Source organism: Homo sapiens, chromosome 5 (genome assembly GCF_000001405.40).
Source record: "Homo sapiens chromosome 5, GRCh38.p14 Primary Assembly".
NCBI lineage: Eukaryota > Metazoa > Chordata > Mammalia > Primates > Hominidae > Homo > Homo sapiens.
Genome location: NC_000005.10, coordinates 110538747 through 110565354, shown reverse-complemented (window position 1 = coordinate 110565354; position 26608 = coordinate 110538747). Strand labels below are relative to the sequence as shown.

General features: G+C 35.3%; 1 protein-coding gene across 23 annotated transcripts in view; it reads left to right on the top strand.

Moving 5' to 3' along the window:
• The window catches only part of TMEM232 (transmembrane protein 232), a 351524-nt gene that overhangs the window by 173600 nt on the left and 151316 nt on the right, over positions 1 to 26608 (top strand). Inside the window, exon 15 of one of the 23 annotated variants that reach the window (XM_011543567.4) lies at positions 367 to 13774. The exons of the other annotated variants lie outside the window; for them this stretch is intronic. Within the exon in view, the coding sequence (XP_011541869.1) occupies positions 367 to 375 (9 nt within the window). The 3' untranslated portion in view covers positions 376 to 13774. Of the gene's footprint in view, positions 1 to 366; positions 13775 to 26608 lie in introns of those variants that run through there. 23 annotated transcript variants of the gene reach the window in all.

The following is a 26608-nucleotide window of genomic DNA, read 5'->3' as shown; positions in this document are numbered from 1 at the left end:
CTTCTCTGAAAATGGGGCTAAGAATAGTATCTAATGCATAGGCTTGTTATGATGACTAAATTAATTCATGTTATAAAACATTTAAAGTTTTTGGTAAATAAATAAAATATACTGAGATAAAAGTTATTTGTTATACTCTAAGTTATATTACTTCTCAATATCCCTAGAGATTATGATTTATTATTGTGCTGTTAGAACTATAAGAGGAGAACATTTGCTTTTAATAGAAAAAATTCAACAGCAAATGTTGATGAATTTCAGATGAAGAAAGTGAAAATAACTTAGCAAAATATTTGGAGGAAGTAGAGGATAAGTAAGCTATGAAGTAAACCGATGAAATTATTTTATTGTGTTGGTTTCTTACAGGTGTGCTAACTGAGGCAAGCCGCAAATCTTCATGAAACTATGAGATAGCAGGCTTGAAAAAAGTTTACAACATTGATGGAGTAGACCTGGTTTAGGGATTTCACTAATGGCTTTATTTATCTGTTTCCAAAATAGGTGGGGGAAAATTGGGTTGGTATTTTCTCTTCAGGCAATGAGAATAGGTGGCCACCCTGATCTCTACAGGTCCAGCACTTGGCATTCCCCTGACTAAGCAACCTGAAGAGAAGAGTTGATTTTTGGGAAGAGTAATTGTTCTGTTTTGGGTTTATGCCTTTTGGAGACATTTATGAGTATGCTGACCAAGCATTCCAATTTGCCTAGGTTAGCATGGGTTCACGCCTATTGTCCCAACTTTCTTACTGGTCGTAAATTAATTCACTTTCAAAAGTTCCTCAATTTGGATGGCAAATTATTGGTCTATCTTACTTTTAAGTTTTCCATTACACAGTATGTTGCAAATCTGCACTTGCCAATACTAAACTTTTTGTTAAAGTTTAAATATTTACAGCTTCTTGGTTTTTCTAGCTCTGATTGAGTAAACGTATATATTTTTCTCCATATTCAAAGAAAGCCATTTTGAAATAGGCCATTCATTCTTCATAAAATACACATGATTTTTCCATTGATGCTTTATCCATATGGCATCCTATGATATTCCAAAGTGCCAACAAACACTTTTTTTTCTTACGTCTTATTTTGAGGCAAGTTAATCTGTTTATAATCAGGAAATACATATTTTTTTCTGTCATTGAAAATTTCTGGTTATTTCTAGCTTTCACAGGAGCAATTATCCTAATATTCCTAATGTCCCGTTTTTAGATAATAATTATGGATACAAATTAATGTTAATAGGTAGGAAGGGCAATTAATAAATTTAATCTGCCCAGTTTATTATCAAAGCATATGGGTGGGCCATTACTGGCAACCCCAAGTATCTATACTCTAGATACTTCATAGAAAATAAAACCTTAAACTCTTTGCTTTTTAACCATAAGTACAATTTGGAATAACAATCCTTAAAGAGTACTATCTAAACACAAGAAGTTCATCATTTTCTCCAGTTATTTTATTTTTTTCTTGGAAAAAGACAATCACAGAGCTGCCCACTTGAATTATATTGTCTTGAATTTCATGGACGTGCTTTTATGCAACTGTGCTTCAGCTTTATCCTTGGTTTTGGATTAGGAGCCCCAAAGTAAAAGAAAAACAAAGAAAATTAATATATTTGTTTCAGTGATGGTCACTGTATCACCCAATATCCCCATTATTGGGATTTAGGAAATAAATCCTCTTTAGTCTTATGCACTCTATGAACCTTATTACTAATTTTGTATAAACTGTTTGTTGGACCTTAAAAAAATTACAGCCTAATTTTTGAACAGTTCTAACAGAAATAGAAAATGGCGTATAGTCACCTCACCCAACCTTATTCTTTTCTTTTTGTTCTGTTTCCATGATTCTTTCAATTATTTGTATTACTCTCTAGTCTTATAACTATTTTTATATGCTACTGTCAAATCACAAATGGATTATACTATAACTAAGTCAACTCAAATTTATCATTTCTATAATTATAATTCTATTTATATGCCATTTTCAGAGCCAATCATTTGATATAAGATATTCTTTTTTCTTCAAAATTTTAGTAAATATCTATAGATAATTACATTTGAAATTCATAAGTCAATCAGACATAGCAAATATATTTTAGATATTAGATACAAGCAAAGACCTCATTACTTGAGTAGTCAGCGCTGAGAATTAACGAATAAACAAACACATAACCACTACCAGTGCTAATTTGTTTTCAATGCTTAGAAGACATTTAAAGGGTGTTTTCATTTATTTTAAATATTAAATGAAGGCGGAAAGTTAGCTTTTCTCAAGACAAATCTAAATCAGAAATTTCTAAAAGCAGTTATATTGATTTAGGCATAGTATATGTTTAAGAAATGTGTTTAATTTGCATTGAATATCTTAACTAAAACACACAGTTAACTCTATATCTATTTTATTTAAAAGTTAGCTAGAGATAGAGACATTTGGATTATTAATAGACTATATGATTTACGGACATAAATGATGAAGTATTTAACCTAGTGACTTTGAAAAAATCACTTAATTTAGTTTGAATTCCCTTATTTAATATTAAGACACTACAGATATATAAAGTACAAAATTATATAAAATTTTTCACCAAAATCAGAAAAAATATGAAATAAATATTTATTATTTACTGTGTCTGTTCAGCCTAGCTGAATTCTGTGCAAGATGCAAAGAAGTGTAAAACATAACCTTTACACATAAGCTTTATTGTCTCATCCAGAAAGCACGTTCTCCAGAAATAGACAAAGACTAATACAAAAGGACATAATATATGTGGCTAGCTACATCAAAGTTCATAAAGTTCATGGCACTCAGTAGGAGCCCAGATAAATGTTTGATCCCTAACTTTTTTTTAGTATTAGCAGGAATGTATTATTGTTCTCTTCAAGTATTAAATAGTACTTGAGGTGGAAATTTAAATTATAAGTTGGATTACATGGTGCAAAGTGGCAGGGTCAAAGAGCATCTTGCAGATAAGAAAATGTCATGAGCCATGCAGAGATAAGAACACTGTGAAAAGAACATTGTAGGTTGACTTGCCAAGTTGGGAAAATAGCTTGGATTGAGCATTCATGGGCATTAAATCTGGAAGGTTTGTTTGCATTACCAGGCTAAGGTGATGGAGACTTAGGTGGTTTCATGGAAACAGAGATGCTAAGTGGAGGAATTAGTTGTAGGGGAAAATTGTTGGTTCTAATTGAATTTATTTGTTTGGTAATTCATGTTGGGTAAAACTTAAGTGTACGACTTCCTATAACTTTTTTAAATAATGAATTATTGCTTTGGAACTCATGGTATGTTGTTAGAGTAATTATTTCCAATTTATTCAGTGCTCTGTACGACCACACCTTGCTCATTGTCTCTACACTCAAATTCTTGGCTTGACTATATTACTTGATTTAGATAATAGGCAATGGCAAATCTTATACAAGGAGATATTTTAAAAATATTTACACATTGGGGTCTTCCCTCTCTTATTCTCTTGGAACCCAGTAACTGCCATGTCAATAAGTGCATTATCCAGCTGGAAGATGACAGACAACGTGGAACAGACATGCCATTTTAACTGATTTACTCCCAAGCCAGTCCCCAGCTGACCTAAACTCTGACCACAGACACAAAAATAAACTCAGCTCAGACCAGTAGAACCATTCTCTGTTCCCAGCTCAAATTGCTGACCTGGGGAACTATATGCTAAATAAGTGGTTGTGTTAAGCCTCTTAGTTTTTGGTGATATTTTTACATACAAAAGGGTTTTTGATAGAAAGCTGCATAAATGGGATTTCAGTCTGCTATATTCTTCAATATGAATATTGTTTCTTTCTTTTATGTATCATGTTTAAAAAGACACTTATGATTGCTAAGATTTGATATTTACTGTATGTCATCTGATAAACACTTTATGTGCATTAATTATTTAATTCTCATAAAACCGTATTTTATATATACATATATATATATACCCACACATATACACACACACACACATTATGGTCTTGATTTTACAGATGAGGAAATTGAAACTTTAAATGAGAACAGTTTTGTTTTTTTATTGCAAGGTGAAGTAACTTGACTATGGATACATAGCTAGCTATCTGCAGTGCTTGAATTCAAACTCTTTTGTGCCAATTTGATAGCCAGTGCTCTTAAACATTCTTCCCAGTGAGTTATTCCCTGTATGAAATTCTTGAGTTATTTTAAGAAAATCTACAAAAGCAAAAAATGAATATTAATAAGGGTAACAAGAATATAAAAAGGATTGTTAACATTTCTTACTACATAAATTTTATGTAATAATTTTGCTTCTGGCTTCATTATACTTCCTTACCACTTTTTCTTTGTTCTGATTCTTCATTTACGTTTTATTCTGCTATAGTACCTATGGCACTCTATAAGTTGTTTTATAATTTTAATAAAATGGTAAATACACATGCACAAATAAAATAATGGATGATTAAAGTTGGGATTATAACCAGCTATGAAAATATGAGAAGATTTGAAGGGCTAAATTAGTTTTTCAGATTTATTGGCTGGAGCTGGGTAGCATAGCGCTCACCTGACTGTAGATCTGGGCTCAGCATGGATTGCTGGACAGCCAGTCTCATTGGTATAATGTGAAAAAGTCACTGTGGTTTAAATTTGCATTTTCTCAGTAATACAAATATAGTTGAGTATATTTTCACTTTTTATTCACCATTTAAATTTTCTCCTTTAGTGAATTGTCAGCTCAAAAATTATTTTTTTTCTCTTGGGTTTTCTATTTTATCAATTGTTTGGAGATCTTTGTAAATTCTGGATATAACTTCTTTCTTTAATGATTAGTCAACACTACTTTTGTTGCTATTGCTCAAATTGTTCCAGCTCTGGCCGTTGGAAAAATTTTCAGTTTGTTCCCTGTGAACCTTTCACATTATCCTAATCATTGTGTTGATAGACATGTAGGATATATTCAATTTCAAGCTATTATGAATAATTATTCTATAAGCATTTTTGTAATATCTTCTGATGCAAATGTTTATGTATTTCTGGTTGGCCCATATGAAATGGCTGATATTCAAATGGCTTTTGTTGTCCAAAACTGTAATTTATATGGTCCAATCTAGTATTGGGTATGGAAGAGGAGAATGACTGGATCATATGGAAGGTCTATATTCAACCTTAATAGATCATGCCAAATAGCTTTTTAAAGTGTTTGAAAGTTCTAGTTGCTTCACAACTGTTATGTGTTGACTTGTGTAGCTCCCAAAAAGAGATGTTATAGTCCTAATCCTACTATTTCAGAATATGAATCATATTTGGAAATAAGGCCATTGTAGTTGTAATTAGTTAAGACAAGGTCATACTGGAGTAGATGGGCCCCTAATCCAATAAGATTGGTGTCTTTATAAGAAGGCAATCGTGAAAACAAAGACACAGGGATAGAGCCATGTGGAGACAGAGGTAAAGACTGGAGTGATTCATTTACAAGCCAAGAAATTTCAAGTATTGCCAGCCATCACTAGAAGCTAGAAGAGAGGCATGATTCTTCCTCAAAGCCCTCTGAAAGAACCAGCCTTACTGACACCTTCATTTCAGACTCCTAACCTCAGAACTGTGACATGATAAACTTCTGTTCTTTAAGTCACAAATTTTGTGGTACTTTGTTCTCATAACACCAGGAACTAATACATAATCCTTACCAATACTGAAAAATTTTCAGCCTTTTTAACGTAGACATTCTGATGGATGTATAATAGCTTTCATTGTAGTTTTAATTTGCATTCACTTGTGACTAATGAAGCTGAGCATCCTTTTGTTTGCTTATCGGCCATTTTGATATTCTCTTGGTATAAATTGCCTGCTAGAAATTTTGTCCCATTTTTAATTGGAATTTTTTACTTTTTAATTTGTGGGAATATATATATAAAATAAACCAGCTCTTTGTTGGTTTTAAAATATTTTCTTCTACTTTTTAGTTGCTTTTCATGCTGTTAATAATTTAATTTCATGAATAGAGCTTTAAAATTGTAACGCCATTCATTTTATCAAATTTATCCCTTATTATTAGGGTTTACTTGTATACTATTTAAGAACTATTTTCCTACCCCATGGTCAGAAAGATATCTTTCTATATTATCTGCTGGGAAAAATGGTTAAGATTAGGATTAGGTTTACAATTCATCTGAAATTGATTTTTTTTGTGTAATATAAAGTAAAACTGTATATATTTTTTTCTTTGTGATTATCCAATTGACCCAGAAAAGTCCGAAAAGGGGAAGAACCACAATGGCTGACTAGATGTAGCTAGGAAGACCTTCTTTCACCAAGTTACTAGACCATTGAGAAGGTTGGCATACTCTGAGCAGATCCCTGGAAAATCTAAGAGTGGACAGAGGAAGAATGCAGACCTTGAGCAGCTGGGAGGAAGCTGGGAACCCTGCATGGGGTTGCCAAGAAACAGGACTCATTCCTGGCCCCAGACGGCCCCTAGAGGTGGGGTGAGTTAAACAGGCATGGGATAGCCCACTCTTGCCATGGACCTGTAGATTCCTAGCTGCAGGAGACCCCATAATCCCCACGGACATTTGAGCTGGCAGAGATAGTTGCTTGGAGAGTTGGAAGGGATTCGGCAGTGGATTTGGTGTGGGAATGGCTGTAGTGGAAAATGGCCAGGGATGCCCATCCTCCAAAGTTTACCATGCTTCTCTAGGTGTCTTTGGCCTTTATTGACTGTTGGACTTGTACAGAACAGGGCTATCTTACCTGTGGGATGAGGCTAGTCTTATCTGAGCACCCCCTTGTCTGCTGGCCTCTCCCCAGGTCCCTGCCTTACCACACTCACTTGCAGTGCAGCCTCAGATGCTCAACTGAGGTGCTTCCCTGAGGCACCACCATAGCTCCTTTGCCTGAAGACCCTGCCTAATAATTGGAGAGTTCTGCAGATGGGCTTCCAGTAACACCCACTTATAGCCTTCCCCTACTGCTCTGCTGGTTATGCTGTCACCTACAGCTTTTCCCTACTGATTTTCTGGCATGCGCACTGTCACACAACCATTGGTGCACATGTACATGTACAGACCTTGCCATATCACTGCCCTGATGCTACTGGTACATAAGAGTGGGCCCCACTGCTACCACCCCAATGAAGCACTTCTGCTGGCATACCCCATCAGAATGATGTTGCCAGCAGACCAAACCAGAAACACTTTGGCCACTCCAACACAGCAGGTACCCAACTTCAAGTAGCTAGAGAACAAAGGCATGAGCATGGTCCCAACCACCTAGGGTTAGAGCATGCAGCCCACAATTGCTGATCTGTACTTTGGCTACCTGAAATAATTCAGAAACAAAACCAGTTAATGAGACCAAACATATACCACAGTTAAACCTTCAAGGAAATCAAAATATAAAAGCAAAAGCCCATCCAAAGCACAGCAACTTCAAAGATTAAAGAAACATCACACCACACAAATAAGAAAGAACCTGTACAAGAACTCTGGCAACTCAAAAAGCCAGAGTGTCTTTGATATAGTTTGGATCTATGTCCTCACCCAAGTCTCATGTTCAATTGTAATCCTCAGTGCTAGATATGGGGCCTGGGGGGAGGTGATTGGATAATGGAAGAGATTTCTAATAGTTTAACACCATCCCCCTAGTATTGTTCTTGTGACAGAGTTCTTACAAGATCTGGTTGTTTAAAAGTGTGTAGAACCTCCCCTCTTTCTCTCTTCCTCCTTCTCCAGCCATGTAAGATATACCTGCTTCCCCTTTCCCTTCCACCATGATTGTGAATTGCCTGAAGCCTCCCAAGAGTCTAAGCAGAAGCTGCTATGCTTCCTGTATAGGCTGCTTAACCATGAGCCCATTGAACCTCTTTTCCTTATAAATTATCCAGCTCAGGTATTTCGTTATAGCAGTATGAGAATGGATCAACATTAGTCTTCTTACCTCCAAATTACCACACTAGCTCTCCAGCAATGGTTCTTAACCAGACTGAAATGGCTGGAATGTCAAAGATAGAATTCAGAATCTGAATGGCCAAGGAGATCAATAAGATTCAGGAGAAAGTTGAAATCCTATCTAAGAAATCTAAGGAATTCAGTAAAATCATATATGAGCTGAAAGAGGAAATAGCCGTTTTAAGAAAGAACAAAACTGATCTGATAGAGCTGAGATACTCACTAGAAAAATTTCATAACATAATCAGAAATATTAACAGCAAAACAGATCAAGCTGAGAAAAGAATCTTGGAGCTCAAAGACGAGTTCTTCAAGTCAACTCAGTCAGATAAAAATATATAAAAGAGAATACAAAGAATGAACAAAACCTCCAAGAAATATGGAATTATGTAAAGAGAACAAATCTATGACTTATTGGCATCCCTGAAAGAGAGGGAGACAAACAAACAACTTGGAAAACATATTTGAAGATATTGCCAATGAAAATGTCCTTAACCTCACTGGAGAGGATGATATTCAAATTCAGAGCAACTATGTGAGATGCTATACAAGATGACCATCATCAAGACTCATAGTTATCAGATACTCCAAGATCAATGTGAAAGAAAAAATGTTAAAGGCAGCAGGAAAGAAGAGTCAGGTCACTTACAAAGGGAACCTCATCAGACTAACAGCAGACCTTTCAGCAGAAACCCTACAAGCCAGAAGAAATTGGGGACCTATATTCTGCATCCTAAAAGAAACAAGATTCTGTCGGGCTTGTAATCCCAGCACTGTGGGAGGCTGAGTTGGGTGGATCACCGGAGCTCGAGTTCAAGACCAGCCTGGGCAACAATGCAAAACTCTGTCTCTACTCCAAATACAAAATATTAGCTGGGCGTGGTGGTGCATGCCTGTGGTCTGAACTACTCAGGAGGCTATGGTGGGAGGATTGCTTGATTCTGGGAGGCAGAGGTTGCAGTGAGCCAAGATTGTACTACTGCACTCCAGCCTGAGTGACAGATTGGGATGCCCTCCTGAAAGAAAGAAAGAAGGAAAGAAAGAAAGGAAGGAAGGAAGGAAGGGGAAGGGAAGGGAAGGGAGGAAGGAAAGGGAGGAAGGAAAGAAGAAAGGAAGGAAGGAGGAGAAGGAAGGGAAGGAAGGAAATTCCAACCAAGAGTTTCATATCTAACCAAACTAATCTTCATAAGTGAAGGAGAAATAAAATCATTTTCAAACAAGCGAATACTAAGGGAATTTGTTGCCACCAGACCTGCCTTACAAGAAGTCCTCAAGGGAGTGCTAAACATGGAAATGAAAGACTGTTACTGGGCACTACAAAAATGCACTTAAGTACTTAGATCATTTACGCCATAAAGCAACAACACTATCAAGACTACAGAACAACTGGCTAACACACAATGACAGGATCAAATCCACATATATCAATATTAATCTTGAATTTAAATGGACTAACTACCCCACTTAAAAAGTACAAAGTGGCAGGTTGGATAAAGAAGAAAGACCTGTCTTCAACAGACCGATCTCACGTGCAAGGATACCTATAGGTTCAAAGTGAAAGGATGGAGGAAGGCCTATGAAGCAATACGAAAATAAAAAGAGCAGGGGTTGCTATTCTAATTTCAGGCAAAACGGATTTTAAACCAACACTGATAAAAAGGAAAAGAAGGGCATTATGTAATTATAAAGGGATCAATTCAACAAGAAGACTTAACCATCCTAAATACCTATTTACCCAACACTCTTGCACCCAGATTCATAAAACAAGTTCTTAAAGACCTACAAAAAGACTTACATAACCACATAATAATAGTGAGAGACTTCAACACTCCACTGACAGAGAGATCATCAAGGCAGAAAACTAACAAAAATATTCAGGACCTAAACTTGACACTTTACCAAAAGGACCTAACAGAAATCTACAGAGCACTCCCTCAAACAACACCAGAATATACATTCTTCTTATCTGCATATTGCACATATTCTAAAATAGACAAGATGCTTGGCCATAAAGCAATTCTCAACAAATTAAAAGTACAAAATCATACCAATTATACTCTTGGACAATAAAAATGGATATCAATACCAAGAAAATCTCTCAAAACCATACAATTACATGTAAATTAAGCAACCTGCTCCTAAATGATTTTTGGGTGAACAATGAAATTAAAGCAGATATCAATAAATTTTTCAAGACTTATGAAAACAAAGATACAACATACCAGAATCTCTAGAACATAGCTAAAGCAGTGTTAACAGGAAAGTTTATAGCACTAAACACCCACATGAAAATGTTTAAAAGATCTCAAATTAACAAGCTAACATTACACCAAGAGGAACTAGAAAAACAAGAGCAAACCAACCTTAAAGCTAGTAGAAGAAAATAACCAAAATAAGAGCTGAACTGAATGAAATGAAGATGCAAGCCTTCCCCAAATAAAACCTCAAAAATCCATACAAATGATCAACAAAACCTCTATGCGCACAAACTAGAAAACCTAGAAGGAATAGATAAATTCCTGGAAACACATAACCTCCCAAGGTTGAACCAGGAAGAAATCAAAACCCTACAGAGACCAATAATAAGTTATGAAATTGAATCAGTAATAAATAACCTGACAACTACAAAAAGCCTTAGACCAGATGGATTCACAGCCTAATTATACCAGATGTATAAAGAAGAGCAGGTATCAATCATATTGAAACTATTCCAAAAAATTGAGGAGGAAGTACTCCTCTTTACCTCATTCCATAGAATGAGGCCAGCATCATTGTGATACCAAAACCTGGCAAAAACAAACAGGAAAAGAAAACCTCAGGCCAATATCCCGGATAAACATTGACCCAAAGTCTTCAACAAAATACAATCCTAGCACATCAAAAAGACAACACACTATGATCAAGTAGGTTTTTGTATTAGTGAGGGTTCTCTAGAGGGAAAGACCTAATGGAATACATATATATGTATCTAAAAGGCAGTTTATTAAGTATTAACTCACATGATCACAAGGTCCCACAACAGGCCACCTGTAGGCTGAGGAACAAGGAGAGTCAGTCTGAGTTCCAAAACTGAAGAACTTGGAGTAGCAGGGGGTCGGGGGCAGAAAGCATCCAGCACAGGAGAAAGATGTAGTCTGGGAGGCTAGGTCAGTCTCTCTTTTCACATTTTTCTGCCTGCTTATATTCTAGCCGTGTTGGCAGCTGATTAGATTGTGCTCACCCAGATTAAGGGTGGGTCTGCCTTTCTCAGCCCACTGACTCAAATGTTAATCTCCTTTGGCAACACCCTCACAGACACACCCAGGATCAATACTTTGTATCCTTCAATCCAATCAAGTTGACACTCAGTATTAACCATTGCAGCTTTATTCCTGGGATGGAAGATCGATTCAACATACGCAAAACAATAAATGTGATTCATCACATAAACAGAACTAAAAACAAAAACCACATTATCATCTTAATAGATGCAGAAAAGACATTCAATAAAATTCAACATCTCTTCATGTTAGGAACCCTCAACAAACAAGGAATTGAAGCACATACCTCAAAATAAGAGTCATCTATGACAAACCCACAGCTAACATTATATTGAACAATTTACCTGAAAGCATTCCCCTTGAGAAACAAAACAAGACAAGGATGCCCACTGTCACTACTGCTATGCAACATCATACTGGAAGTCCTAACCAGAGCAATCAGGCAAGACATGAAATAAAGCCATCCAAATAGGAAAAGAAAAAGTTAAATTACTTATAAGATGATATGACTCTATATCTAGAAAACCCCATAGTCTATTTCCAAGGACTTTTAGATCTCATAAAGTACTTCAGCAAAGTTTCAGGATACAAAATCAGTGTACAAAAATCACTAGCATTCCTAAACACCAATAATATCTAAGCTAAAAGACAAATGAGGATGCAATACCATTCACAATAGTCACAAAAAGAATAAAATGAAAAGGAATGCAGCTCAACAGGGAAAAAAAGATATCTACAACAAGAATTACAAAAGACTGCTGAAAGAAATCAGAAATGAGATGAATGGCAAAGCATTTCACACTCATGGATACAATGAATCAATAATGTTTAAATGGCCATACTGCCCAAAGCAATATGCATATTGAATGTTATTCCTATTGAACTACCAATATTTTTTCACAGAATTAGAAAAAAAAGTTCTCAAATTCATATGGAACCATAAAAGAGCCAGAATAGCCAAAGCAATCCTAAAGAAAACAAAGCCAGAGGGATTACACTACCCAACTACAAACTATACTACAAGGCTACAGTAACCAAAACAGCATGGTACTGGTACAAAAACAGACACATAGACCAATGGAACAAGATAGAGAACCTAGAAATAAAACTGCATACCTACAACCATCTGATCTTTGATAAAGTTGACAATAACAATGAGGAAGGGGTTCCCTATTCAATAAGTGGTGCTGGGATCACTGGCTAGCTATATGCAGAAGACTGAAACTGGACCCCTTCCTTATACCATACACAAAAATTAACTCAAGATTAATTAGAGACTTAAATGTGAGACCAAAAGCTATAAAAACCCTAGCAGAAAGCCTAGGGAATACCATTCTGGACATAGGCTCTGGCAAAGATTTATGCATGAATAGGTTTTCATTCTCTTAATTATGTTTAATGATAAATTATATATTTGCAGATATACATTAAGTGTATGAAGATTTAAAATAGGTTTCATATTTCTCTTGAATATGAATATATAAGCTTGAATAAGCTTGAGTCCTTATTATTATGAAATTTTCCTTATTATTTCTACCAATGCTTCTTATATTAAAGCCTGATCTTTTTCATATTAGTATATGTACATTAGCTGCCTGTGGATTAACATTTCCATGAAATGTATTTTTGCATTGTTTGATCTTAAACTTTTTGTGTCTTTATATAAGGTATGCTTCTTTTAAGCATGATATTTTTAACCACAATAGTTGAAAGACAATCTTCACCTTTTACTTGTATATTTACATGTAATGTAATTTTTGATGCATATTACGTCTTATTATTTAACCAACCTATTTTATTTTATCTAGGGCATTTTTCAGAAAGCCTTATTTTCTTGTATTAATCAAATATTTTTATCATTGTATTTTTTCCTCTATTAGTTAGTAATACGTTACTCTAAATATATATTGTGGCTATTTTCAGAATTGCAATATGCCTCCTTAATTTATTAGAGGCTAACCTAAATTATTACTTTTACCACTTACTTGAAAATTCTGGAACTTTAGAACATTTATTGTTTTATGCATTTTAATTCTACTTGTATTTTTACTACTCTAAACATTATTATTGTTTTAGACAAGCCAAAATATATTTTGTTATTATCTTATTCTTCATTTCTTTCTGTATTTTTATGCCACTATGTATGCTCAATTTCCTTCTATGTGATGAACCTAATTCAGTACTTTTGTTTTTTAATCTGTGCAGGTAGCCTGGCCATTAAATTTTTATTTTTGGTTTGCTGAAAAAATTGTGTTTATTTCTATATGCATACTTATGCATATAGAATTCTAGGTTGACATATTTTTAGTATTTATAAATGTAAAGTCATTTATTTGGCTTCTATCATTTCTGTTGAGAAATCAATTGTCAGCCCAATAGTTCTTCATTTTAAATTACTGTATTTTTTCATGTCTCTGGTTTTAGGATTTCTCTATTCGGCTTTTAGAAATGTTAATAAGATAAATCCGATGTAGTTCCCCTTGTATTTTTATTGCTCAACATTTGCAGGGTATGTGAATACTGTGGGTTGATATTTTTTCATCAGTTCTGGAAAATTCTTTGCAATGAAGTTTTCAAATACTACTTCTACTCCATTGTCTCTTATTTTCTCTGAGATTTCTATTACAAAAATGTTAGACGTGTCCTGGCGCGGTGGCTCATGCCTATAATCCCAGCACTTTGGGAGGCTGAGGCGGGTGGATCACGAGGTCAGGAGTTCAAGACCATCCTGGCCAAGATGGTGAAACCCCATCTCTACTAAAAAAAAGAAAAAATTAGCCAGGCGCGGTGGCAAGTGCCTGTAATCCCATCTACTGGGAGGCTGAGGCAAGAGAATTGCTTGAACTCGGAGGGCAGAGGTTGCAGTGAGCCAAGATTGGGCCACTGCACTCCAGCCTGGCCAACAGAGTGAGACACTGTCTCAAAACAAACAAACAAAAACAAACAAACAAACAAACAAAAAGTTAGACTTTACACTCTGCCTTTTATGCTTGAAAAACACATTTCACTGAGTAAGTGTTCAAGGCTTATTCATATTCTAGATTAGGGGCTGGCAAGCTTTTTCTTAAGAGGCAAAATAGTAAATGTTTTAGGCATTGTGGGCTCAGAGGCAAAATCCAAGTTATTATGTTGGTACTTTTAAAACCATTTAAACTGTAACCATTTATAAATGTAAAAATCATTCTTAGCTCTTAGGCTGTGAAAAAAAAAAAATGGCTGGATTTGGCCTGTGGGTGGTAGTTTGCCAAACCCTGTTCTAGATTATCTGAACTTTTTTTTTTTTTTTACTGTAACATTTCCATATATATTTTTTAAAATCAACTTGTCAAGTTCCATTTTTTAAAAAGCAAGTCCACTTGGATTTTTATTGGGGTTTCATTGAATCTAGAGAGCTATTTGGCGGTAATTGATACATATCATTATAATATATAATAGGTAATTCATGGATATTTACATCCTGCCACTTTTTAAGGTATTTCCCAATTTCTATCAATAATGTTTTGTATATTTCTAGCTGTTTGATATATCTATTTTATTATAAAATATATATCATATGCTTACAAATATATGCATATATAGAATTTGTTCTGGTTTATATAAACATAATTTAGTTTTGTGTGTTAATTTTTTACCCACCAATCTTATTACATTGTTTTTATAGTTCAAAAGTTTATTTTTTACATAAAAATTCATGTTTTTTTGTGAGCATCATAAACTTTTTTACATTTTCTTATCTTATTTTACTGTTTAGCCACTTTTAGTACAGGACTGAATGATGATGCTGGACATGTATGTTTTACGTGAGTCTCATAAGGGACAGCTTTCAACATTTTCACATTGCATATTTTTAGAAATACCTCCCATAAATTAAAACTCAATTTTTCCAAGTTTAACAAGAACTTTTATTATGAATTGATATAGAATTTTACCAAATACATTTCATGCATCATTTGGTATGATTGACAGATTTTTCCATAATTCTGTTACTGTTGTAAACTATATTGTTTGATTTTCTTTTGTTGACCAATCATTGCATTCCTGGAATAAAAATAACTTGGTGAAGATGTAAATATTGCTCTATTTGCTTTAATAATACTTTAAGATTTTGCATTTGTATTCATGCATGTGATTGTTCCATAATATTTCTTTCCTATATTGTTAAGGTTTTGTATGAAAGTTATTCTTGGCTAATGAAGTGAATTGGGAAATTATATTTTTTTAATACTCTGGAAGAGGTTTCTATTTTTGTCATTATTTCTTCTTATAAGTTTTGTAGAATTCACAAGTGAAGCTATTTGCTTATGGATATTTTGGGGAAGATTTTAAATTGTGGACTAATTTTGTATTGGTATGTTTTCTTTCTAGGAATTAAATTCGGAAAGATGTTTTCTAAAATTGCTTCTATTTTTCTATGATCTTTTTAATGTCTTTAAAATCTGGTGTGATATCCACTGGCTAATTCCTAACCCTTCTTATTTTCATCTTTGTTCTTATTTTAATCTGTCATTCCAAGGCCTTATGAACTTCTCAGTCTTTTTTTTTTTTTTTTTTTTTTTTTGAGACAGGGACTTGCGCTGTTGCCTATGCTAGAGTGCAGTGGTGTGATCATGACTCACTATACCCTGTGCTCAAGCGACTCTACTGTCTCAGCCTCCCGAGTAGCTGAGACTGCACATGCAGGCCATCATGCCCAGCTTATTTGTTAACTTTTTGTAGAGATTGGATCTCACTGTATTGCCCAGGCTGGTCTCACATTTCTGAGCTCAAGCCACCATCCCACCTCAGCCCCTCAAAACACTGGGATTACAGGCCTGAGCCACTCTGCTTGGCCTCTCAGTCTTAAAAATCAACTTTTGATTCTCTTGATACTGTGTTTTCTCTCTTTTTTTCATATGTGATATTAGGTTTATTATTTTCTTCTGCTAATTTCCTTGCATTTAATGGATTATTATTTTCCTAAAATTATTGAACTTTATTCCTTGTCATAGATTTGTGTATTTTCCTTTTCTAATATGTGTTTTGTACACTATTAATTTACTTTCACATGTAATTTTAGTAATATCCTAAAAAGTGTGATAAGCAATATTTTAATTATCATTTAGTTCAAAAACTTTTCTAATTTCTGTTATCTCTATTTAAACCATACATTGTTTAGAAGATAACCTATGGCTTAGTGTTACATATATTGAGACTTTTATTGTTACATTTATATTGTTTGATTTTAGTTCAATTTTATTATGATCAATCACTACACTTTATAATCATTATGATTTTTAAATTAAAAGTCAACCTTTTCTGTTGTGAATAAATATAACTACAACAGATCTCTTTTGATTAGGGTTCATGTTAATATGGTATATCTATTTCCATCTTTTAATTTTATGCTCCCTGAATTCTTATATGTATGTCTCTAAGGAGAAGTGGTATTTTTTTAACCTGAAAATTACTGTCTTCAAATTGAAACAGTTTATTTACATTTACTGTCACTGCAATATATTTGTATATATTTCTATGTTTTGTTATTTACTATTCTATAGATGACACCTGTTTCTTGTTCTTTTAAAATAGTCTCATATTTGCCTTTTGGGAAAAGATTTTGTTTTTTTAATTATACCATTCCACCCCGCCCCCTTTACTCGTTTGGTGGTTACACATTATTTTACTGTTACTGGTTACCTCTGATTTTACAAAATAAATTCTTGAATTATTAAAATTTAATGTAAATAAATTTTATATTTTCCTGGACCATGAAAATGTCTTATAATATTTTAATATTTAAGATTAATTATTAAATATTATTAAATATTAATAATTAATGATTAATAATATTTAATATTTATACCCACTTTCTTATGCAATTCTGTTTAGCATTTTAATTATGTGTATGTATATCTGGATGTGTTCGTGTATGTGTGTGTGTGTTTATAGGCACCAGTATATTATTATTGCTTTATGTAATCAGTATTCTTCAAGCTTACCCACATATTTAAAAGTTTCTTTCCTTATTCTTCTTCCTTGAATCCTTGAATCTGTGGCCTTCTGTGTGGTATTATTTTTCTTCTGCTCGAGGAAAACACTTTTGTAGCCTTTCAGTGAGCCTCTGCTGATGTTGAATTCTGTGAGTATTCATTTATTTGCTTTTTGCTTTTTTTTTTTTTTTTTTTTGGAGATGGAGTCTAGCTGTGTCACCCAGGCTGGAGTGCAGCGGCGTGATCTCAGCTCACTGCAACCTTCGCCTCCCGGGTTCAAGCTATTCTCCTGCCTCAGACTCCTGAGTAGCCGGGACTACAGGCATGCACCACCATGCCTGGCTAATTTTTGTATTTTTAGTAGAGACTGGATTTCACCATGCCGGACAGGCTGGTCTCAAGCTCCTGACCTCAAGTGATCTGCCCATCTCAGCCTCCCAAAGTTCTAGGATTACAGGTGTGAGCCATCGTGCCTGGCTGAGAAGCTTTTTATTTAATTTGATTTTGAAGGATGATTTCATTGACTAAGAATAATATCTTGTCATAGATGAAACATAAATTCAGGTGTCCAATTGCTGTGTTTATTTTACTCCTCGCCAGTATTTTGGGTTGCATCATTTTTATGACTTAGGTTATAAAAGATTTGTTTCATTTTATTATTAGATGGTATCAAATGCAGTATTAGCATGTCTGCACTAGATCTTAGGAGTACTAATGTCTAAACTAACTTCCTCAAATATTCCATACCTAATTATTCAAAAGGCTAAAGTGATTAGTACCTGTGTGGGTCTCAGTTTTTCTTTCTGTCTTCCTTGTACTTGTGACTCAGTTGTTAGGCCTATGTGATTTTCTAACTTTACTGAGTTTCACAGCTAAAATTTCTTCCCTCTCATGCGTAATTTTGCTGAGTAAAAGAACAAACATCTATTTACATTTTTTAAAGCTGCTTTCTTAAGGAAGTTAATAATGGAAACTTAGACTAAGTTAAACAGACTAATGCCACATATACAAATAAGACAAAACAAGACAAAATGATCACCTTTGCTCTATAGGTAAAAAGTTTTAGAAAAATTATTTTGAATTTATTAAAATTATATTTTCTTACCTAAAACAGTCAGAATATGTTCTATTTAAGTTGAATTAAGCACATCTTACAGTTGTGCTTAATTTTACAAGTAAAACTTGAGCATAATACATTTGAGGTGTTTTTTTTTCTCTTTCTCTTTTTCTTTTTTTTTGGTAGTATCGTGGCAACACTTATTTTCAGTAATAAAACTCCAAAGGTGGGTTATTTATTTCTAAATGTTCTTATATTTCCTTAATAACTTGCTAATTCCCGAAATCCCTTAAACCAACTTATAATATTTTCCTGTAGTACCTCTTTGAACAAGTTCTGTGGTATAAACTATATAAAACCTTTCATGTCACAAGGATTTAAAAAATTAGTCTTCAGACACTCTCTCACTACTCCATGTGAATTAGGGAACATCTATCAAACACCTATACAGTGAGGGCTTGTGCCTCAGACACTTAGATCTAAAAGAAAATACGTATTCTACTCTTATTTAAGTTATTGCAAATGACTATGTTTATGGCACAACCTTTGTTCTTCCTCTCCTTTCCTAATTCTTTGCTTCAAAAACCTTTTGTTATACAATAATATTATTACCTACATAGAGTGAAACATAACTTTGTTTATAAACTACTGTACATTCTAAGGGGAAGGAATTATTTCATAAGGATTGAATATAATGCAGTGTTTATGGAATTAAGTAGAAATTTTCTCTTTTTATGCTTTAAAATAAATATGCAATTTATATGATAAACAACTGAATTTCATAAATACAATTTTAAATTTAATACTTCGATTTATCTACAACAGTGGTAAATCCATTCCTAACTAAATTATCCATTCCTAACTAAATTATCTACTCTCTACATTATCGACTTTCTTTACATTATCTACTCTCATCTCATATGTTTTTTTATCCATGATAACATTTTATCATCTGTAACTCTTATTATATTTGTTCATAAAATTTGATGCCTCTTGGAGGTTGGAGGAGAGGTGAAATATTTAATAAGCATATTTGAAATGAAAAACAATTGTGAATAGATCCTGAAATATGAGCCCTTCATGTGACAAATTCAATATAAACCCAACTGTTGCCTGAGTATTTGGGAAAGAAATAAAAAAACTGTCATATACTCACAGTGGCATAATAAACAAATGTTAATTGATGTGCTTTGTTTGAAATACTTCCAGGGAGACTTGCAATGAGCAAGGTTTTTCTGTATAGGCAATTCAGCAGCATATGCTGGCACATCTAGGAAAAGTCATCGTGTATAAGTGTTTTCTGCCATCTGGTATATGACCTAAAATATCAAAAAGAAATATGTACAGCTAAAATGAATATGTGAATTTATTCAGAGTACCTTTGACTCATCAGGTAAAGCACTTTGTGGTTAACATTTTATGGTGCAATCTTTAAAACAAAATTTGTTTTTATTCTTAATGATATTTCCATATCCCTAATGTGCTCTATAGAGCAGCAAAACAGAAGAAACAACAGTATTAGTCCCTATTTTCCCAGTGCCTATTTCTCTCCTTCTCCACATGTGGCTTTACTTTTGACATAAATAGCAATAGTTTGGAAAGTGAGCTGTATTTTTGGATAAGTATAGATCCTTAAATACTTATCAATAGAATGCCAATGTAGCAAATACATTGTTTTAAGAAAAGAAACTATAATATTGTAATATTTTATATAACAAAATAATAAACACAAATAGTTTTTGTAGTGCCTTTATCATGCACCAGGCACTGTACAAAGTATCTGTTATATACATATATATAATGTATATTAACCCATTTGAGCCCCACAGCTCTCCTACCACCATCATCATCCATGCAGATCAAGCATTTGAGTTTTAAACAGAATAAAATGACATGCTGGTGGTGGTTAAGCTCACTGTGAGTGAGCTTAACTCAAAGGCTCTAATATTTCTACTATTTCATGCTTTCTCTAAAATTAAATATAAACAAGGAACTAACATTTATTGAAACACTTCCATGTGCTAGAGACTGTACTATAAAATATATGCTTTTTGTTTAATCTTTACCATAACCTTGTGAAGCAAAATATTTTCATCATTCCACTTCAGGGATAAGGAATCATGCTCAGAGAGGTTAAGTACCTTGTGGAAGATCACGTAACTAGTAAGAAGGAAAATTGATATTTCCATTTAGTCCCTTCTTTTGCTACTATATCAGTCCTTCTTAAAACCATAAAGTGCAGACAAAGATAGGGCCTGAGATACTACATTGATAACATGCTCCCAGGTACTGGCAATAAAATGGTCCAGTGACTATAATTTTAGTAGCAAGGAATTACTCATGCTGTTCTCCTTTGTGAGCTTTCACAACTCCTATAGAAAATAATCTTATGACACTACTTTGAGTCACTTAAATTTTGAAAAACATTTAAGAAAAAAAATATTTTCAAAAACAAGTTAAATATCTCAGCAAGATTACTTAAGGAAAGGTAAAGACATGTTAAAAAGGAGAGAGACTGTGAGAGAAGGGAAGAGAATTTGTAGCAAACTGCTGCAATGGTTTGAAATTATTTTTTCCTTTTTTCTCTTATGTCAAAAATAATGTGAGTTAGCTCAAATTTTGTTGTGTTTGCTACATTTCTCTAATTATTGGTGGTAAATTCAGAACTTTGTAAAGGCTTTTTTTTTTTTTTTTTTGATATGTGTGTATTGCTACTACATCCTAATTCCTTTGGGCTGATTTATGCATTTTCTTCCTGCATTAATGCAGCCTTTGCCATCTTTATGCCCAACACAAAGGCAAAGGGTAAGCTTCTGTTCCTGCCTTTGGTTAAAATATGTATGTGAAGGAAATAGTCTTCAAGAATACTACTTTTCCAATTTTAATAGTAAATCAATAAAGTTAACATAGATATTTTTAAAATTCCCATTTGTTTCTTAATAAAGAAGTCATGTTCTAATAATGTACTAATAAAAGGAAACCCTGAATTTTTATAATCTTCATAGGCATCACTAAAAATTAAGAACACATAATTAAAATGTAAATAAATGGTTAAAGTTGGTGTTTGAGATAATGTTCATTGCCAGGCTAAATAGTAGTAAATTTATAAATTTGGAATCTGTTGTAAAAGATGTTCATTAGTATTTTGTTTAAGTCTGCTCTCAAGAAGTATAGACAAATTTATGCATAGATGGCATTCAAGTCTCTTAATATTGAAATATATTAGAATAATGGCTTTAAGAGAAGAAGGAAGATAACTATAGAAGACGACTCTAGAAGTATAATCATGATCTTATTTGATACATTTGCTAATGTAAAAGTTATGTTATAACCAAACTGTTTTGGCATGGCAGAGGTTAGGTAGAGTCTTCCTGGGTTGATGGTGGGAGTTGCTGCGAAGGCCAGAGCTCTAGTGCTCTGTCCTAGGGAAGACCTGAAAGGCACTAATATCTGTTGACCTTCTCACTGTCTAGAAGGCAGATCATCCTTTATGATCTGCGTTAACCTCCATAAAACTAAAAGGTATTTATTATCCCAATAACATAGATGAAAAACAAGACAGAACAAAACTAAACACAAAACAGTCCTGGAGAAGTTAACTAAAATTTTTCAAGTTTACATTGATGACTGGCAAGTGGTAGAGACACACTTGATTTCAGATCTTTCATAGTGCACAGCCCATATTCCTTCCTGGCAACTTCTTGCAAGAAAACACAGACAAAGCCTTTCGTAAATAAGGAAAGTATACATTTGACTGAAATTTGAGACTACATTTCTATTAGACAAAGGGCACGGACATCAATGAAGGATAGAAATTTACCTGGGCTCCCCACAAGAGAATCATAGAGAAAGATGTGGGAATATCTTCATTTTGCCGAGAAAGAGGTGGCATCTGTATCTATAGCCTCTCCTGTCTTAGAGGGAAGTAAGTGAGGAGTAGTCAAATGAGACATGATGAAATGAGCATCAGGATTCTGTAATACAGATGTTATCGGTGGAGGGTCTTGACTACAAGTTGTCCAGGTTCTTGGTGTTTTGAACAAAGAATTGGACAAAATGCACAAACAAAACAAGGAAGGAATGAAATGACAAAAGCAGAAATTTATTGAAAATGAAAGTACACTTCCCAGGGTGGGAGCAGGCTTGAGCAAGTGGCTCAAGAGCCCTGGTTACAGAATTTTCTAGGGTTTAAATACCCTCTAAAGGTTTTCCATGGGTTACTTGGTGTACACCCTATGTAAATGAAGTAGTGGCCCACGATCAGTCTGATTGGTTGTGGGAGGGGACAAATCAGAGGTACTTTCAATTTTTCATCTGCCATGCAGAAAGCGAGGGGGGTTGCAAAGGGAGTAAGTAGCCACTGGTCCTCATGTTCCTTGGGCATGAGAAGTTGGGGTTTTCCTTTTGATTTAGTTCCAGGAAGTCGTTGTGAATTGGCCTTAGGTTCCCTGCCTCCAGACCTTATTCTCTTGCCTCATTTCCCCCCTGAGAGACACAATCCCCATAAATCTTTATGGGGAGCAGAAGGACCGATGGTCTTTCTTCTGTAACTGCTTCATGCTGACTTGGGGCTTAGTCCATACCTATTGGGGATCATGGAATTCTCATTCTGCTCTGTCTAATGAAGACAGGGTAGCTTCTTGATGGCTAAGATGGTGTCTGTGCACCTGAAACTGGCTGGAAGCCCTGTCACATGATAATCTGAAGCTTGATGGTCTCTAGGTGAGAGGAAATAAATTTGGTTAAAAGATTTAATGGGAACTTCATGGGCTGGATACTTATGCTGTAAGGAATGTTTGTTATATAACTGAATTAAAACATTCTGCTTAGTTAGTACAAAGGAAGTGGTTCCATCCATCTGGAAAAGGCAATGAACTATAAAAAATACAAAAAAAATGGCTACTATTATCCAGCCTACAGTAACTATGCAACAAAGACACCAAGGAAAGTTGGTGGGCATTTACTTATCTTTTGGCTGTCTTCTAAACAGGAACTTCGGGTCTTTCACAAGTTCACAGGTGTAGTGGCTGATGGGAGCTTCAGGTTCCAGGTCCGGGGCTTCAGGTATCGCAGACATGATCCTTGAAAGGTGTATCCAACCATCTAACCTTAGTACTTTGCAGAAGGCATGGCCAATATTACTGAAAATGGTGCCTTCCATTTGGGTTGTAATTGTTGAGCAGGTGATCTCTTTTTCCATGTTTTCATCTCTTGGCCTGATTTAGGGTTGCTGGTTAGTTCCTGGTGTGGAGAGCCTTTGAGTTTCAAACTTTTGTAAAACCTGCTGAAATTTTCCTAGGTTAACTAGGTATTTTACTAAACTGGCTGTTTCTGGATCAGTAATTGAATCATTAATTTAGAAAGGGCTTCAGATAACATTTCTTATAGGCTTATATTAATTTTTGCTCTAGGGGTATTATGGATCCTTAAGAGGGCTACAGACAGTAAGCTGAACCACGTTTTTTATGTTTCCTGACAATGCTTAGCTAACACTCACTTTAGAGTTTGGATAGTCCTTTCTACTTTTCCAGAGGATTGAAGCCTCCATGCTGAATGTAAATAGTATTTGATTCTGAGAGCCTTAGCAACCCCATGAGTCATTTGGGAGATAAAGGACATGCCTTTATCACTTTGGAGTCTCTGAGTTAATCCAAACTGGGGGTTATTTCTCTTAAGAGGACCTTTATAACCTCATTACCTTCTCTGTTCTGTTAGAGTAAACTTTGACCCAACCAGTAAAGTTATCTATTAGCACTAACAAAAACATATCCTCTGAAAGCTGGCATATGGGTGAAGTCTAATTTCCAATATTCCCCTGGATAAGCTCCTCTCCTCTGGACTGGTTCTATTAGAGGAGGCATTTTGTTTCCTAAGTTGTTAAGTGCACACAATGAGCAGGCTTGACAGACCTGCTTAACCACCGAAGCTAAGTTAGGCCCAGTGAAGAGCCTGTTAACCATGGCCAAGGTAGCATCTCTCCCTATATGGAAAGAGTCAGGCAGGGTTTTTATAATTCTCCATTGGGCTGTTTGAGGGAGATATACTTGTGATCCCATGTACCACCAGGATCCTTGTTTTTGTTCCCCTTGCTCCTGTATTAGCTGTTCCTGTTGGGATTGCACCCTGAAGGTTGTGCCTTTGGCTTCTCTGTCAGACTTGCTGTTCCCTTGTGCTATAGGCGTTAAGTCCCCTACAATGAATTATAGCTATGGCCTTTGGCAGGTGTACTGCTTTTAATAGCTGAAGAATTTCAGGCCCATGCTTTATAGGAGAGTGTTTGCTAGTTAGTAGTCCCCTTTTCTTCCAGATTGTAGCATGAGCATGAACCACAGGGAATGTATATTTAGAATCTGTATAGATGTTAAGCTTTTTACCTTGTCCCAACATTAATGCTCAGGTAAGAGTAATGAATTCAGCCTTTTGTGCTAATGTGCCAGGGGGCAGTGTCTGGGCTTCAATTGTACTACGATTTACTGTTGTGTATCCAGCTCCAGTGCTCCCTATTTGACATGAAACTACTGCCGTCTGTAAACCAGTTATCCTCAGAATCTGGGAGAAGTTGGTCTTTTAAATTAGGCTGGCTAACATATGAATGTATGTGCAATGACCTGCTCGCAGGAATGATCAGTTACTGGGCCTGTGGGCAGAAACAGAGCTGGATTCAAGGTGCTACAGGTTTCAAGGGTTACATCTGGGTTTTCTAAGAGTGTGGCATGGTATTAGGTTAAACTTCCCTCCATCATCTAGAGGTATCCTTTTATTTCTAAGACTGACTTCACCTGATGAGGGGTTAGAACTTCTGGTAGTTGACCTAGGGTGACTTCAGTGGCTCCTTCCACTAAAATACCAGTGGCTGGGATTGCCCACGGGAAACTTGGCCATCCCGAGGCCACTCCATCCAGCTTTTTTGAAAAGTAGGCAGTTGATCTGTGTTCTGATCCTAATTTCTGGGCTAGTACTACTACAGCTATGCCTTTCCTCTCTGCTACATACAAGGAGAAGGGCTTAGTTAGGCCTTGGATGCCAAGAGCGGAAGCTGGGTGAGAGCCTATTTTTAACTTGGCAAAGGTTTCTCTCATTTCCGAGGTCCATTCCATTAGCTCATTTTCAGGCCCCCTTGTTGCTTCATACAGGGGCTTTACTATGATCCCAAAATTTGGTGCCCATATTCTGCAAAACCTGGCTATTCCCCCAAAAGAACAAAGCTGTTGCTTGGTATGGGGAGGTCCCAAACCACATATGGCTTGCACTCGTTCTGGGGATATTTGCCAGGCTCTGGGTGTTAAGACATACCTTAAATATTGGACCTGTTGAAGGTTATTCTAAGCCTTCCTTTTGGACACTTTGTATCCCCTGTCTGCCAGGAAATTAAAAGTTTTTGTAGTATTTTGTTCAGAAGCTTCCTTGGTTGGGCTACGCACAAGAAGGTCATCCATGTACTGGAATATACTCCCATTCTCCAATTGCAGATCCCTTAGATCCCTCTCTAAGGCCCAAGCATAGAAAGGGGGCCTGTCCCAAAAACCTTGAGGGAGCACTGTCCAAGTGTATTGTTGTTTTCCTCCGGTATTAGGATTTTTCCATTCAAAGGTGAAAAGGTATTAGGACTCTGGTGCCAGAGGGAATGGAGAAGAAAGCATCTTTTAGGTCTAGAACTGAGAACCTTTTGGCACCTGAGCCAGGAGGGTATATGGATTTGCCACCAATGTGTGTACAGGGATAATAGCCTCATTAATTATTCTGAGGTCCTGTACTAACATGTAATAAGCCTTCAATATTCTTCCAAAGGCTTTAGAATGGGTAAGATGGGGTCCTTGCAAGGAGAATTGCAGGGTTTTAAGAGTCGATGGGTAAGTAATACCTCACCTCTGGGTGCTAGGCCTTTTCTTGCTTCCAGCTTAATTAGGTATTGTTTTTGATTGGGAAAATAGCTGGGGTCTTTAAGCGTATTTTGACTGGCACTGCTATTTTAGGCTTCCCTAGATTTCCAGTATACCATGCCAGTGGGTTAGCCTGTTTACTAATGTAATCTGGGACTTTGGCTGTATTTTGCCTGTTAGCAATTCTGCCAGGTGATGCTTACATTGTAGCAGTGCCCCTATTTTAACCATAATATCTCTTCCCAACAGGGGGATTGGAGAGTTTGGTACTACTAGAAATTCCTGTTGTAAGATTTGTTTCTCAAATTGACAAATCAAAGGAGGAGTAAAGAATCTTGTTTGCGGCTTTCCTTCCATTCCTGTAATGGTCATGAACTGGGAGGAAAGCTTTCTGCAAAAGCAGTGAAAACAGAGTAATTTGCTTCTGTATCAAAAAAAAAAACAACTGAATTTGGGTACCCATGACATCCAGAATTACCTGGGGCTCCTCAGTAGTAATTACAATGTTCCT